At 42.4% G+C, this 15,042-nt stretch overlaps 1 protein-coding gene and 1 non-coding gene across 64 annotated transcripts in view, besides 2 other annotated features; both read right to left on the bottom strand.

Moving 5' to 3' along the window:
- The window catches only part of ST3GAL3 (ST3 beta-galactoside alpha-2,3-sialyltransferase 3), a 223,624-nt gene that overhangs the window by 92,162 nt on the left and 116,420 nt on the right, over window positions 1-15,042 (bottom strand). For 38 of the 63 annotated variants that reach the window (NR_073021.3, NR_073018.3, NR_146867.2 and 35 more), the window contains one exon: window positions 687-779. The exons of 3 other annotated variants lie outside the window; for them this stretch is intronic. Coding sequence is in view for 45 of the 60 variants with exons in the window: in XM_047428200.1 (XP_047284156.1) it covers window positions 687-779 (93 nt within the window). In the remaining 15 variants the exon portion in view is untranslated. Of the gene's footprint in view, window positions 1-686; window positions 780-7,203; window positions 7,878-14,105; window positions 14,268-15,042 lie in introns of those variants that run through there. 22 more of the 63 variants (XR_946744.3, XR_946743.3, XR_007063036.1 and 19 more) reach the window with 2 other exon arrangements.
- MIR6079 (microRNA 6079) lies at window positions 315-376 on the bottom strand. Its single transcript, NR_106727.1, has one exon. It is a non-coding gene; the product is annotated as a microRNA 6079 (primary transcript).
- Window positions 3,296-4,063: an enhancer, noted in NCBI's record as "OCT4-NANOG-H3K27ac-H3K4me1 hESC enhancer chr1:44300607-44301374 (GRCh37/hg19 assembly coordinates)". NCBI's record gives its function as "activates a minimal SCP1, AML or CMV promoter by ChIP-STARR-seq in naive and primed H9 embryonic stem cells {active_cell/tissue: H9 hESC(naive and primed)}" and the evidence as "EXISTENCE:reporter gene assay evidence [ECO:0000049][PMID:30033119]".
- Window positions 4,064-4,831: an enhancer, noted in NCBI's record as "OCT4-NANOG-H3K27ac-H3K4me1 hESC enhancer chr1:44299839-44300606 (GRCh37/hg19 assembly coordinates)". NCBI's record gives its function as "activates a minimal SCP1, AML or CMV promoter by ChIP-STARR-seq in primed H9 embryonic stem cells {active_cell/tissue: H9 hESC(primed)}" and the evidence as "EXISTENCE:reporter gene assay evidence [ECO:0000049][PMID:30033119]".

The following is a 15,042-nucleotide window of genomic DNA, read 5'->3' as shown; positions in this document are numbered from 1 at the left end:
CCCCTCCAAATCAGAAGGAACGAAATGACCCTGACAGTCTCACTGCACTCCAAAGACAATCTCAGCACTTCAGCTCCTTTTCCACACCAAGGCTTCAGAAAAGAAAACCAAAAAGGAGAAGGTGGATCAGTAAGCAAGACCCCTTAGCAGCATTCGGTAAAAGGAACTCCCTGGGTTATGCACAGATTCTTTCAGGTGCCAAAGAAGTCAGCAGCTCCAGAATGCAAAATGGACAGAGAAGGAAAGTGCTAAAACTCAAGACAGCCTCAGAAATTTCTCTTTGTTCCCTGCTTTATTTGGATATGCCTCCCTGAAGCCAGCTAGTTGGTCCAAGCTTCCAAAAAAGTTTCTTTGGCCACTGATACTAGGTCTAGGAGCTTCTGTGCTTGGCAGCCTTCTCTGGCTGCCTCTGGATACCTGGCTTGCATGCGGCAACCATGTAGGTTATCCTTCTGCAGAAACAGGCTGTGCCACAAGGTGCAAGCTCCAGAGGCAGGATGGGAGTAAGGCAAAGCAACGGCATGGAGTAGGACTGGAGTAGGAACCAACTTAAAGGCAGAGTCCTTTCCAGGAACCCATGGTTTCCAGAGCATAGGAGAACATGACTGGCTGTGAGAGGCAGAGTTTCTGGCTCTTGGACCCCAGACCAGGCTGTCTAGGCAGTGGAGGGAAACAGGAGCACTTACCGGGGGAAGATGGCCGTCATCAAGGCTGAAGCATAGCCAGGCTTGCAAGCTCCCTCTGAAAAGTTTGCGTACTTGGTGGCTAATTCAGCAGGCCTATGGGAAGAGAAGGAAAGTTACAGCTTGCCAGGCACTGAGCACTGAGTGGGTTATTAATTCATAAGGAGCTGTAGGTGTTTAACCCTTTTTTTTTTTTTTTTGAGACGGAGTCTCGTTCTGTTGCCCAGGCTGGAGTGCAGTGGCGCAATCTCGGCTCACTGCAAGCTCCGCCTCCCGGGTTCACGCCATTCTCCTGCCTCAGCCTCCCGAGTGGCTGGGATAAGGTGTTTAAACCTTGAATCAAGTTTCATTCCCTACAATCAGCACTTCAGGCACTTTTCCACATTAAGGCTTTAAGGGTAAAAACAAAACAAATCCCCAACCCTAAAGGAATAGATAGATAAATAAGTCAGGCCCCTGGATGGTATCTGTAAAAGGAACTTAACTGGATTCTCACAGATTTCTTTTTAAGAGACAGGGTTTCATTATGTTGCCCAGGCAGGTCTTAAACTCCTGAGTTCAAGCGATCCTCTCGCCTTGGCCTCCCAAAGTGTTGGGATTACAGGCATTGAGCCACTGTGCCCAGCTCAAACTCATAATTCTTTGCAGGAAGCCTGAAACCAAGGAAACGAGGAGCTCTATCAAGGCTCCAATACCCGGGGGAGTGGTGCTTGGAGTTCATAGAATACAGCTACTCAGGCTTTGATACTCAGAGCCCCTGGCCTTTCCACCTTCCTTGTATGTTCCTACATGGCCAGCCTCATCTGCTTTTATTCTCTCCACTCAGGCTATGATCCATCCAGTGGGAACCATTCCCCAGTAGTGGGAACTGTCCCGAACAGTGACCGAATATAGACACGATAAATTATGTCACTGGGGCTACTGACATAACCATTAGACTTTTAGTTGAGGATGGTTTCCTCTCTCTGCCTGGAATGTTATTCCTTGTCCTTCTTCATCTGGCTAACAACTATTGGTCCTTCATGATTAAGCTTAAATATCAGCTTCACTGGGAGTGATTCCCTGACCCTCGGATTGGGCTAAGTGCCTCCTCTGTGCTTGTATAGTCACTCCCCCTTCCCCTCACATCATATACTTACCCCCAGCACTTGCTATTCTGTATTGTAATTTTTGGTAGTATGTCTCCCTTGATACACTGTAAATTCCTAAGGTCAGAGGCTGATTTAACCCTGCCTACCCTCTCCAGTGCCTTGCATAAATGGGCACAAAGAAGACCCCTAAAACTTTCTTAAGGAACAAAATGACCCTGACAGTCTCACGGCAGACAAGGCAATCTCAAGGAACCCACAAGGCTGAGACTGCTACATATTTTTCAGAAGACTTGTGTTCTAATCCTGGCCTGTTGCTGTGTGACCATAATCATGCCACCTCACATCTTTGGGTTTCAACGTCTTATGCGTTCAATGTGGGTCTGGAGTCACTGCCCTGCCACCAAAATCTCTGCACTATGCAGTCTAGAGAAGATCACAGCCAAAGAACAGGATATAGTCAGTGAATGGGCTCCGTGACTGCCGGGGCTGGAGGCCCTGCATGCTGGGGCACCTGAGTGAGCCCTGGCTGGCTGCCAGTTCTGAGTCCCCACCTCCTCCACCCCCACCCTTGGGCCTGCTGCCAAAACTCTGGTGCCCAGCTGCTCTACTGTGCTGGGGCCCTGTGGCAAGCCTACCCTCCAGGCTGCCTTCTGCAGGGTCTGGACTGGGTGGGTGTGGGGTGGTGGTACCAGAAATGATGATGCCACTGCCTAGTGTGTGTCATGTCTGATTCACCACAGACCCCTCGGGCCTAGCCCAGAGCCTTACACAGAGTAACTGCTCATTGAACACAAACTCATCTGATCAATGCACAATTTCTTTTAGAAATCTACATTTTCAAGCATCCCCCACCACGGAAATTCAAAGCCTGAAATGCAAATCTGAAGGCTGAGTGACAAGCCAAGGAGTTGGGACTTTATTTGGTAGGCAAAAGAAAGCCAAAAGTCTAACAAGAGAAAAACAATATTTTCTTATGTAAACAACTGTATTTTTGAAATGAAATATAAACCTCAGTGCAATTACAGAACTGACTAGAAGCTTTTTGACTAGGCACAGTGACAAAAACGTTCTAGATGTTTTCAGTTAGCTCTCTCAACAACTCTGTGAGTTGGTGCTATGAATTAATTTACACACAAGGCCTAGAAAGATGAAGAGACTAATCCAAGATCATACAAGTGGTAGACACTGGATTAGAACCCAAGGTCTCTAACACCAGTGGAGGAACTCTTAACAGGGCACTGCCACCAACACGGTCACGGAGGAAGGCACAGGACAGCACAGGAGTGGTCAACACAGTCAGACACGGGGTGGAGAAGACAGTCCAGAAGGCCTCACACAGCTTTGGTCTGCGGCAGTAAGGCATTTTGAGTCTCTTCATGTCCTGTCCCCAGTCCCCACCATCTGCTTGCCTGCCTTGTGCTGTGAGTTCCTGTGGTCTTTCTGAATTCCAGAAAGTTTCATAAACAGCAGAAAGATGGACAGCAGGTGCCCTTCTTAACACAGTGCAGTGCAGAAATAAATGAACAACAGACAGACCTTTGGCCACCTCTTTTCTCTCTAGTTTACCCCATCAACTTTTGGCAAGGTACTTAAAGAATAAGGGCTGTGGGACAGTCCAGGGGGCACAGGATCACGTCATCTACAATGGAGAGGGAGCTGGAGCCCAGCAGGCAAGGCAGGAGATACTGCTCTCTCCATGGCAGTGGAAGGCAGTCCAATATCAAGGATGATGGGCTCCAAATCAACCCCTCATTTAGAAAGCGACAGTAACTCCTAAAACGTACAACTCTGGGTACAGTGGGTCATGTCAAGTTATTACCAAATTAAAATGCCTTAGAAATGGCCTCCTGACTATCCCAGTGAGAGAAGAATAGGGGGAGTGTTGGGGATTCTGAGTCATCCAGCAGGCTGGGACCTCTGGGGCAGTTAGCGGTCAAAACCACCAAGATTAACGGTCGCCAACTCCCTGGGGCCAGAATAGTCAGTCTCTCTAAGGCACTCACACTCCAAATGCCAGCAGGCCCCCACAGATGTCTGATCAAATCACTCAGCCCTTGTTCTTCTCCTACTCTGCAGCTGGCCTTTCATTTTGGGAGATTTAGCATTAAACCCAGTAAGAGCACCCATTGTCCTGCAAACGTGACTACCAAGCCCCTGGGGTGAAGAGTGTTACCACTGCACTCACAAGAGGAAATCCAGATGGACAGGCTGGAGCCCCAAAGAAGGAACCAGACGCTTCCACTCTCCTGCTTCACTCAGAAGGACTGAGTTTAAGGAATCAGGCCAAGCAATGGGTCATAAATGGAAAAAGCATCAGATCTGGAATCAGAAACTGTCACAGAGGACACTGACAAGCAAGTGATGGAAAATCTGATTTTCAACTTCCCCATGTGCAGTGGAAACCATGTAATTCCAAGAATCGCATCAGGATGTGGTGAGGGAGCACATTTGGAGGGGACACACATGCTGTGTGACACGCGTGGCTGCCATAAGCGCCTGGCTCGGGTTCAGATCCAACCACAGGGAGAGTCACCACATGATATCTAGTGGGAGGGTGCCCTGGCTGACGTGTGTCTGAAGGATCAGCATTTGGGAGATGAGGAGTAGCACTGCAGGAGGCTGAAAGAGCAGGAGAGTGTGAGGCTGTGGTCAACGAAGTGTCTTAGGAAGGACGCAGAGACCAACTGCGTCACACACTGTGGAGGTCCAGTAAGGTGTGGCCACAGGACTAAATGCTGGATTCGGCAACAGGGAGGTCACCACCAACCTCAACAACAGCCATTCCACTGGAATGTGGAGGTGAAACTCGTTTCACTGGGTTTAAGAGAAAACAGGAAGAGACAAACTGAAGTCATGAAACACAGACTATTTTTAGGAGTTCTGCTACAAAGGAACAAAGAAATGGGGCAATAGCCGGAGCGGGGAAGCAGGGTAAAGTGTTTTTTGAGGTTAGGAAATATTTCCCCAAGTTTACAAGCTGGTTAGAATAAAAGAAAAACTCACAATGCAGTAGAGATAGGACAGTTGTAGGGAGAATGTTTCTTTTTGTTGTGTTTGTTTTCTGAGACGGGGTCTCACTCTGTTGCCCAGGCTGGAGTGTGGTGGCATGATCTCGGCTCACTGCAACCTCCACCTCCGAGGTCCAAGTGATTCTCCTGCCTCAGCCTCCCGAGAAGCTGAGGTTACAGGCGCCTGCCACCGCGCCCGGCTAATTTTTGCATTTTTAGTAGAGACAAGGTTTCACCATGTTGGCCAGGTTGGGGGAGAATGCCTGTGAGAAGGCGGAGGGGGAAAGGATCTAGCGCAAAACTGGAAGGGCTGGCCTTAGCTCTGCTCCCTTAGCCCGCCTTGGCCAGGGATGCCTATTTTCTAAGCACCACTTCCCTTGCGAACTTTCCATGATACTTCCCTTCTCAGGTAGAACCCATCCCCCTGTGGACCTGCGCCACCTAGGGCAGACCTTCATCTTCACTTGCTCACTTGTTCCCCCATTCTCCTACCGCCTTCCCCTTTCTGCCTCTCATTTCCACAGGCAACAAATATTTAGAGACAATAGAGTCACTCTGCTTGGATTTTTATCCTGGCTCTCTTAATAGCTGTGTGATTTGGGGCATGTCTTTTAAATTGTTTTGTGCCCTTAATTTGCACATCTTTAAAAGTGGGATTATACTAGTACTTACTTTATAAAATTTTTTTGTTAAGAGTTATGCTGAGAAAGAAGGGCTGGCACTGAGTACGGTGTCTGGCCCCTCGCTGGTGCTCAGTACATGCTAACTAACTGGCCTGGGATTAAGGATACAATGATGACTAGGACATAGTTAAGGCCTAGCATTACACTCCATTACACTGAAGAGTAATTGTCCATTTAAATATCTTTCTCTCATAGAATATGATCATTTTAGCAAAGCATGTATGGCACAGAATATACAAGTACCCAATAAAATGCTGGACTGAAATCAGTTGGTTACCTTGCCTTGGAAGGTTAATCAACAGGAAGTGTAAGGGGGAAGTGGGGTGATGGCCAGGGAAACTGGGGAAGAGTCATTGACAGTGATTCCTGAGGACTCTACAGATCAGTGATGGACATTGTGTAACCATCAGTCTAGTTTCTAGAACCATCTCAGAGAGGACTGGACTCAGATCAGCCCCTACCATGCCTGCTCCCTCGTTTCATGTGCTAATTTAGTTTAAAGCATTCCTTATGAGAAAAGAAGACCATGTAGGCAGCACTTAGCACACTGCCTAACAACCCAGCAGCTTAATCAAAGCCAGTGTTACCATGCTAGGGGGACATGCATGAGCGTGCAGATGAGCCTCTCTACACAGAGCTCTTTCCATCCACAGAGGAGGGAATTCTTCAATTCCATCTTCTACCTTCCTCATGAGGATGCCTTTCTCCAAGTACTAGAGAGTTGTTTCTGGGATAATGACATGAGGAGGGAAATGGCAGAAGCAGCTTCGCCTAGCTTGAGTAATCCTATTCTGTCATTAAATATTTTCACTTTAATTTTTTTTTTGAAATAGCCTTTACTGCCATAGATCCTCTCAAGCCCCAAGATGGAAATGTTTCTCCTTAAGGACAACTTCTGTCTCCTCTGACTGCCACCTGTCTGACCTGTTACTCCAAGGTCTGCTGGGTCTTGCTTGCATTGTCACCAGTTTCATCATCTACCCACATGTGGGCTGTGCCAATCCATTCTACCCTAGACATCACTGACTCTTTGCTCTTTGTGGCTTCCAATGTAGACTCAGGTTTCTCTACAGCTTTTGCCATCATGATACGTGTACAGCCATCTACGACAAATGCTGAAGCACTGTCAAATGTCTTCTATCACTTTAAGAAAAAAGGGACTGCTTGATCTGAGCCATCTGAAACTTGTGGTATTTCTCAGCTCCGGAGGCCCTGCCTTTCTGCTCTTGCTGCTAGGCACTGCAATACCTTTTCATCAAACCAGGCCACCTTCCTATTTGATCAGTGATTGTGGAGCTGACATTAACTCCAGGTTACATTTGTCTCCAGAGCCTTGTAATTTATTTCCTCTTAGCTGGAGGGATGCTCCCCACTAAGTTCTCCAAGTGCTTCAACAGACAATTTTCACGGAGGCACTCCACCAGAGATCTGCTGTGACTCTCCAATTCAATTTTGCTTCCACACTTTATTTCCTTAAAAATAAAAACACATCCTCTTTCTGGGTGGTAGTGAAAGACACAAGAGAAGTAACATTCACTGAGCACAAACCAGGCACCAGACAGCGGATCTAATGATCTAATTCAGCTTTACAACAATCCTCTACAAAGTAGTACCTCCCTTAGACCCAGGCATATGGGGCTGAAGGAGTCCAGGAGAAGCCATGGTTAGAAGATGCACTGTTCTGTTTACACTATAAAATGTCAAATGATACATTTAATATGACCAGAAAACAAATTACCATTTACACTTTCCCTGCACTCTCTGACACTGGTGTGTGTTCATGACCAACAAAGCAGTCCCATCTTTGAGATACTCCCAGGTCTCAGGAAGGATAGCGCAGCCTCATGAAATGATGTATCCAGCATGAGCTGAATGGTACTGGAGAAATGAAGGGAGAAGATCACTGTTTCCACAAAACAGTTTCCAAAAAGCCATGGCATTGAGTACTAATAATACAGATACTTGTTGTTTGTGGCAGGAGATATGAAACTTTCCAGCAATGATACATTTGACAATAGAAAACACAGAGATGGTTCCTGAACCTGAACAGAAAGAGTTGGTGGTGTCTGGGTAGCAAAAGGAATTTTCATATGCACTGATTGGATAACAAATACATAAGTATCTCTTCTCTACCCATTGTTCTAAATCCTTAGTAAGTCAATATATCATACATGGACCCATCAACTGGTTTATACAGGCAGAGGCCTTGCAAAACGTTATTTGGCCAGGGCCCTGTCTACCTTTGGAGCAGTCCTACTCTAAGGTAAGTATTATTTTCATTTTTGACAAGAGAAAACTGACTCCAAAACTCTCTCCTGTTCTTCCCAAAGCCCCTACTTTCTATGATGTAAAGTGTAATCAGCTTAAGGTAAGAAGATTGGAGTTTAAGCCACCAGTTCTACTTACTAGGTGTGCAACCTCAGGTAAGACACAACTGGTTTCCTTAACTCTTAAAATAGCTATAGTAATGCACATTTTATAGGGCTGATGGGAAGATCAGTGAATACCTACAGCAATGTGGGTCACAGTGCCCTTTGAAAGGTTATACAAATATTAGTCACTGTTCCTACTGTTTTAATGTTTGACTTCTGCTTTTACTATTCCTTCTAGATTCATCTGAATTATTATCATAGTTTCAATAATTTAAGAAGGAAAATAACTGCTCATTTATTTTTCTTATTTGGATTCTTCTCTCTCATTCAACTGGCTGTCCATAAATGTATGCCTATTGGGCAGGGAGGTCAAGAGACTTCAGGGGACAGAAAGGGAGGGCCACTAAAACAATTCCATCATCTATGTGCAGGAACTTGTTATAAACTAGCATCCTAGCACTTATGTGAGCCCAGTGGAAGGGCTATATCTCATAAAATTTGTAGTTAAAATCACAGTCAAATCCTCTGTTCAATTCTTCTATAGGTCCCCAGTATAAGATAGAGGTCACTATCATGATTTCCAGATAACATTGTCCCTAAATCCACTAAGTCCAGGCTCTCAAAGCAGGTGTCACAGTTCAGGGGCTATGTAATAGAGGTTAGAGTTATTCAAAGCCACAGTACAAACCAGTGTATCTTCCTGGAGCAATACATGTACTTGAAGATATGAGGAAGAATGTATTAAGAAAACACATACATACTATGGTATAGAATGCAGAATTTTTACAAGCAAAATGAAAGATCTTAAAGATTCTTTTTTGGGGGGCCAGGTGTGGTGGCTCACATCTGTAATCCCAGCACTTTGGGAAGTCAAGGTGGGAAGATTCACTAGAGCCCAGGAGTTTGAGACCAGAGGCAACATAGGGAGACCTTATCTCTATTTAAAAAAAATTTTTTTTAATTAGCTGGGCATGGTGGCATGTGCCTACAGTCCCAGCTCCTCAGGAGGCTGAGGTTGTAAGGATTGCTTGGGCCGGGGAGGCTGAGGTTGGGAGGATTGCTTGAGCTGAGGCTGCAGTAAGCTGAGATTGCACTACTGAACTCCAGCCTGGGCGACAAAGCAAGACCCTGTCTCAAAAAAAAAAAAAAAAAAAAAAAAAAAAAAGGAATTTTTATGCTTGCAGTGGGTTGCTTTGCAATATATGCTCACTCTCCTCTACCACTAAGGGTCCTCTGGAGGAAATGTTTCAGAAGCACTGCACTAAGGAACCTAAGTTTTCCATTTTGGTTCCTACTCTCAAAAAGCTTGAATTTCAGTAAGCAAATAGGTAAGTAAATAAAAGATTACCTTTGGGTATAAGTACGACCACTATTATATACAAGGTATGGAGGAGGCAGACAATTTAAAGTGGTCTTGGGAATTAGGGTGGGTATCTTGAGGAGGTACTGTCAAGAAAAGAGAGAAAGGAGAAGGGCATTCTCAGCCGAGGATACAATATGTGCAAGGGTCCAAAGCAGAAAAAGAGCCTGGCACATATTGGGAATTGCAAATACAGTAGTACTGACAGAACAAAGCCTGTGAGACCACAGCATGGTCTTGCTGCTAGGACAAGGAGCCTGGACTTGCTGATGGAGGCAATGGGGAGCCACTGAAGGATTTTTATGCAGATGAATGACATGCACTAGTCCAAGAGAGAAATGAGGAGACCTGGCTGAAGGGGTAACAGTGGATATAGACAGGAAGAATATTTGTAAGATATATTTGGGAAGCAAAATAATAGAGAGTGGAGGAATGTAACTAACAATTATTCAGCAGTATCTGGGGTTTTGTTTTTATTTTTATTTACATTATTGTTAATCCTTAAACAGCCCTATATGATAGGTATTATTCTTCCCATTTTATGAACAAAGAAATAAAGAAATTCAACTAGGAAATGGCAGGAGGAAGATTTGAATATAGAGCTTTCTGATTTCAAAGCCCTTGGATATTGGTTGTGGCTGTTTCATAAAATACACTTTTTATATTTCCTGATTTCAAAGCCCTTAGTAGTGTTTTTTTTTTTAACAGACTACATTTCTTTTTAGTGCTGAATAGTAGTCCATTGTCTAGATGTGCCACAGTTTGTCCACATACATACTAAAGGACATCTTGATGCTTCCAGTTCTTGGCAATTATGAATAAAGCTGCTATAAATATTCATGTATGGTTTTTGTGTAGACATAAGTTTTCAGTTCCACTGGGTAAATACTTAGGAGGGTGACTGCTAGAACATATTATGTTCACTTTGTAAGCTGCTGCCAAACTGTGCTCCAAAGTGGCCAAACTGTGCTCCAAAGTGGCCAAACCATTCCCACCAGCAGTGAATGAGCGTTCCTACTGCTCCACATCCTTGTCAGCATTTGAGACTGTCAGGTTTTTTGGTTTTTTTTTAGTCATTCTAATAGGTGTGATAGTATTTCACTGTTGTTTTAATTTGCATTTCCTTAATGACATATAATGCAAACATCTTTTCATATGCTTATTTCCATCTGCATATCTTTTTTGACCATCTGGAAAGGGTGTCTTTTTGGTTCTTTTGCCCATTTTTTTAATTGGGTTGGTTGTTTTCTTAATGTTGAGTTTTAAGAGTTCTTTGTATATTCTGAATACAAGTCCTTAATCAGGTATGTGTTTGCAATTTTTTCCCCAGTTTGTGGCTTGTTTTTTCATTCACTTAACAGTGAACTTCACAGAGTACAAGTTTTGGAGTTTAATAAAATCAACGTACTGATTTTTCTTTTCTGAATTTTGCTTTTGGTTTTATATCTAAAAACTCATTACCAAACCCAAAATCACATAAATTTTCTATGTTACCTTCCAGAAGTTTATTATAGTTTCAGGTTTTGCATTTAGTCTATTTAGGTTCCATTTTGAGTTAATTTTTGTGAAAGGTACAAGGTGAATGATTAATTTGTACATACAGATATCTAATTATTCCAGTATCATTTATTGAAAAAATTATCCTTTTTCCATTGAATTGCCTTTGTTCCTTTGTCAGAGATCAACAGACTATATTTGTGTGGGTCAATTTATGGGATCTCTATCCTATTCTATTGATCTATTTGTCTATTCTTTTGCCAATACTACGCTATCTTGATTGTATCTTGATAGCTTTATTGTAGGTCTGGAGTCAGGTACTGTCAATCTTCCAACTTTCTTCTTCTTCATCAGTAGATTCTGGGTCTTCTGCCTTTCCATATAAATTTTAACGTAAGTTGTTGATATTCGAAAAATGACTTGCTGCAATTTTGATTCTGATTACATTGAATTTATAGATCAAGTAGAGAATTGACATCTTAACAATACTGAGGCTGGGCACAGTGGCTCACACCTGTAATCCTAGCACTTTGGGAGGCCAAAGCAGGAGGACTGCTTGATCCCAGGAGTTTGACACCAGCCCCAGCAACATAGCGGACCCTGACTCTACAAAATAAAAAACATAAAAAAAAAATTAGCTGTGTGTGGTAGCGCACGCCTGTAGTCCCAGCTACTTGAGAGGCTGAGGTAGGAGGATCACTTGAGCCTGGGAGGTCGAGACAGCAGTGAGCCGTGGTTGCACCGCTACACTCCAGCCTGGGCAACCCTGTTTCAAAAAAAACCCCAAAACCCCCAAAACCCAATACTGAGTCCTTCTATCAAAATGTGGAATATCCATTTATCTAGATTTCTTTGATTTCTTTCATTAGAGTTTTGTAGTTTTCCTCATTCATATATGGATCTATGCACAAACACATTTACACATATTTTATCAGATTTATCCCTAAGTATTTCCCTTTTTTTTTGGCACTAATGTAAATGACACCGTGTTTTAAATTTTAAATTCCAATTGCTTCTTGCTGGTATATAGAAAAGCAATTGCCTTTTGTGTATTAACCTTACAGCCTGAAAACTTGCCTTAATTGCTTATTAGTTCCAGAATGTTTTTGCCAATCTTTGGGATTTTCTACATAGACAATCATGTCATCTGTGAACACAGTTTTATTTCTCCCTTCCCAATCTGTATGCCTTTTATTTCCTTTTCTTGTCTTACTGTGTTAGTGAAGACTTTAGTATAATGTTGAACAGGAGTGGTGAGAGGGGGGACATCCTTGGTTTTATCTCAATCTTAGGGGAAAAGAATCCAGTGTCTCATTAAGCAAGATGTTAGCTATAGGTTTTTTGATCAAATTGAAGAAGTTCCCCTCTACTCATAGTTTGCTGATAGTTTTTTTAAAAATCATGAATAGGTATTGGATTGTATCAAATGGTTTTTTTACATCTATGGATATGATTATATGATTTTTCTTCTTTAGCCTGTTGATGTAACAGAATATGCATTAATTGATTTTTGAAGCTGAACCAGCCTTGCATACCTGGAATAAATCCCACTTGGCAGCAACATGTAATTCTTTTTATACATTGCTGAACTCAATTTGCTAATAATTTTGTTGAGGATTTCTGGAGCATGTTCATGAGAGATATTGGTCCGTAGTTTTCCTTTCTTATAATATCTTTATTTGGGTAATAGGGTAATGTCTAGAGTAATGTTGGACGCATAGAATGAGTTAGAAAGCGTTCTTTCTGCTTTGATTTTCTGGAAGACATTGTAGAGAACTGGTATCATTTGGTATCATTTTTTCCCTTAAATTTTGATAGAATCCACCAGTGAAACCATCTGAGACTGTTGTTTCTGCTTTGGAAAGTTATTAATTAGTGATTTAATTTCTTTAGTAGATACAGATTTATTCAGATGGTCTTTTTCTCCTTGTGTCAGTTTGGGTGGTTTGTGTCTTTCAAGGAATCAGTCCATTTCATCTAAGTTATCAGATTTGTGAGTACAGAGTTGTTCACAATGTTCTTTTATTATCCTTTTTCTTTTGTTTTGAGACAGGGTCTCACTCTGTCGCCCAGGCTGGAGTGCAGTGGTGTGATCACAGCTCACTGAAGCCTTGACCTCTCGGGCTCAAGTGATCCTCCCATCTCAACCTACTAAGTAGACGGGATTACCAGCACAACCGGCTAATTTTGTTTTTTTTTTTGAAGAGACGAGGTCTCCCTATGTTGCCCAGGCTGGTCTCAAGTTCCTGGGCTCAAGCGATCCTCCTGCCTCAGCCTTCCAAAGTGCTGGGACTATAGGCATGAACTACCTCACCCGGCCCATTATTCTTTTTAATATCTATGGATTAGTATGTTCACTTCTGATATTAGTAATTTATATCTTCTCTTTCTCTATTTTTGGCTCTAGGTTTATCAATTTTATAGATATTTGCAAAGAACCAGCTTTTGTTTTGTTGATTTTCTCTGTTGATTTCTACTCTGTACTTCTATTATAGCCTCCTAAGTACCCTCTCCCCTTCCATTCTTGTCCCTCTCTAATCAAATTTCCTTCCTGCGGCCAAAAACATTTTCCTAAGGGTCAAAACTGATTATGTCACTACTCATCTGCTTAAAACCCTTCAAGGCATCTTTTGCCCTTGAGATGAAGCCCATATTTCTCCTTGTTATCTCTAAAACCCCACATAATTTGGTCTCTGCCCATTCCTCCAGACTTCTCAAGTTCCACCCTCAGGTCTCCTGGAGTTTGGCAGCATAGAAAAGACAAATCTTACATCTTTACACATACATTTATTTCAATTATAGATAAGGAAGAGATAAATTAGTCAATATAATGTATAGGAAGTTCTTCAATTGGCTGAGATTTTAAAAGACCATTAAGAAAAACTAGAGAAAAAATTGGTAACCAAAAACTAATATAAAATGGATTTCCAAAAATAGTGTCTAGAGATCTATAGCCCATAATGAAAGTTCGAAAAAATTACAGAAACATCCAAATATATTTTTTCATTGTAAAGGTGTAATAAAAACAATATTTAGAATCAAAAGAAAGTAGCCGCAATTCCACTACCCTAACATAATTGTTATGATATTCTGCAGTAGTTGTTATATTATATTCAGATATGATATAGTGACAGGCCTGAGGTTGCTTCATGGTTCTTGACCCTGACATATTAGAATAATCTGGGAGAATGTTTAAACATAAAGGTACCTGAGCCCAATTCCTGACCAACTAAATCAGAATCTCTGGGTAGTGAGGTCTTAGTTATGAATCATCACACATAGACATACTCCTATGTACAGGCAGATTTATTCTTGGTATCAATTACCTGGGGAAGTGGAGACTTCCTGAGACAGGAAACAGAATCTTTTATTAAAGCAGTGGTTCTCAATTTGGCTGCATATTAGACTCACCTGGGCAGCTTTAAAAATCCTAATGCAAAGGCTGTGTCCTCGCTCAGTGACTTCAAAATCTCTAGAGGGTGGGATGCAGGCATCAGTAATTTTTTAGGCTCTCCAGGTGATTCCAATATGCAGTCAAGGCCAAAAACCACCGTGCAGAGAGTCCTCGGTGAGCTGCAAAGTGGGAATTTGGCTTTTTCAGTCTTGATCACATAGCTCAAGATGTCTAGGAGAAAGTCTTTGAACAGTGGGCTGTGAAAAATGCTAGATGTCATGAAGCAAAGAACCTAGCCAAATCCTGCAATGCTATGCTCTCCTGTTGTGAAGTAAGTATGGCCCTGGCTTGTGCTAGCTATAGAAGAGACAGAATTCTGCATTTTGGAAACCAGACTACTCCTCTGGATTTCTTGTCCTCTCAAGGTTAATTTCTCTGTTGTCCTCTTTTAATCTTTAGTGAAATATTTTTAGCTTTGCTTAGAGAAGCCAAGAGAAAGTATCCCTCCCACCACACACACACCCCTTTCCTCTTTTTTTTTTTTTTAAGGCATTAAAGAGAAGCTGGCCATCTGAAGTCAGCATGATGGTGGCAGAAGTTCTTCAAGTGACAGTCTCTCCAGGAGATGGGGAAAGTCAGGGTTAGATAAAGGAAGGGGCCACCTGACAGTCCTCACCACTGTACTCCGTCTCCCTAAAAATCTTCTAATAACAATATTTGAAAGATCTGGATTTTGTTATTAAAGGTGGCTCTATTCTTTCTTACTCATACCCTCTTCCTTCTGTCCTCGATTGATTGAACAAATATTTACTGAATATTTACTATGCACATAAACACTATACTAGGCATTGTGAATATATCTGTGAGCAGAACATTCCTAGTTCTTGCCCTTACAAAGCTTTCGGTATAGTTAAAACATAGGATAAAACTGACTGTGAATTTGGAAAAAACAGA

This window comes from Homo sapiens, chromosome 1 (genome assembly GCF_000001405.40).
Source record: "Homo sapiens chromosome 1, GRCh38.p14 Primary Assembly".
Classification (NCBI taxonomy): Eukaryota; Metazoa; Chordata; class Mammalia; order Primates; family Hominidae; genus Homo; species Homo sapiens.
The sequence above is the reverse complement of the archived record's forward strand: the minus strand, read 5'-3'. Positions and strand labels throughout refer to the sequence as shown.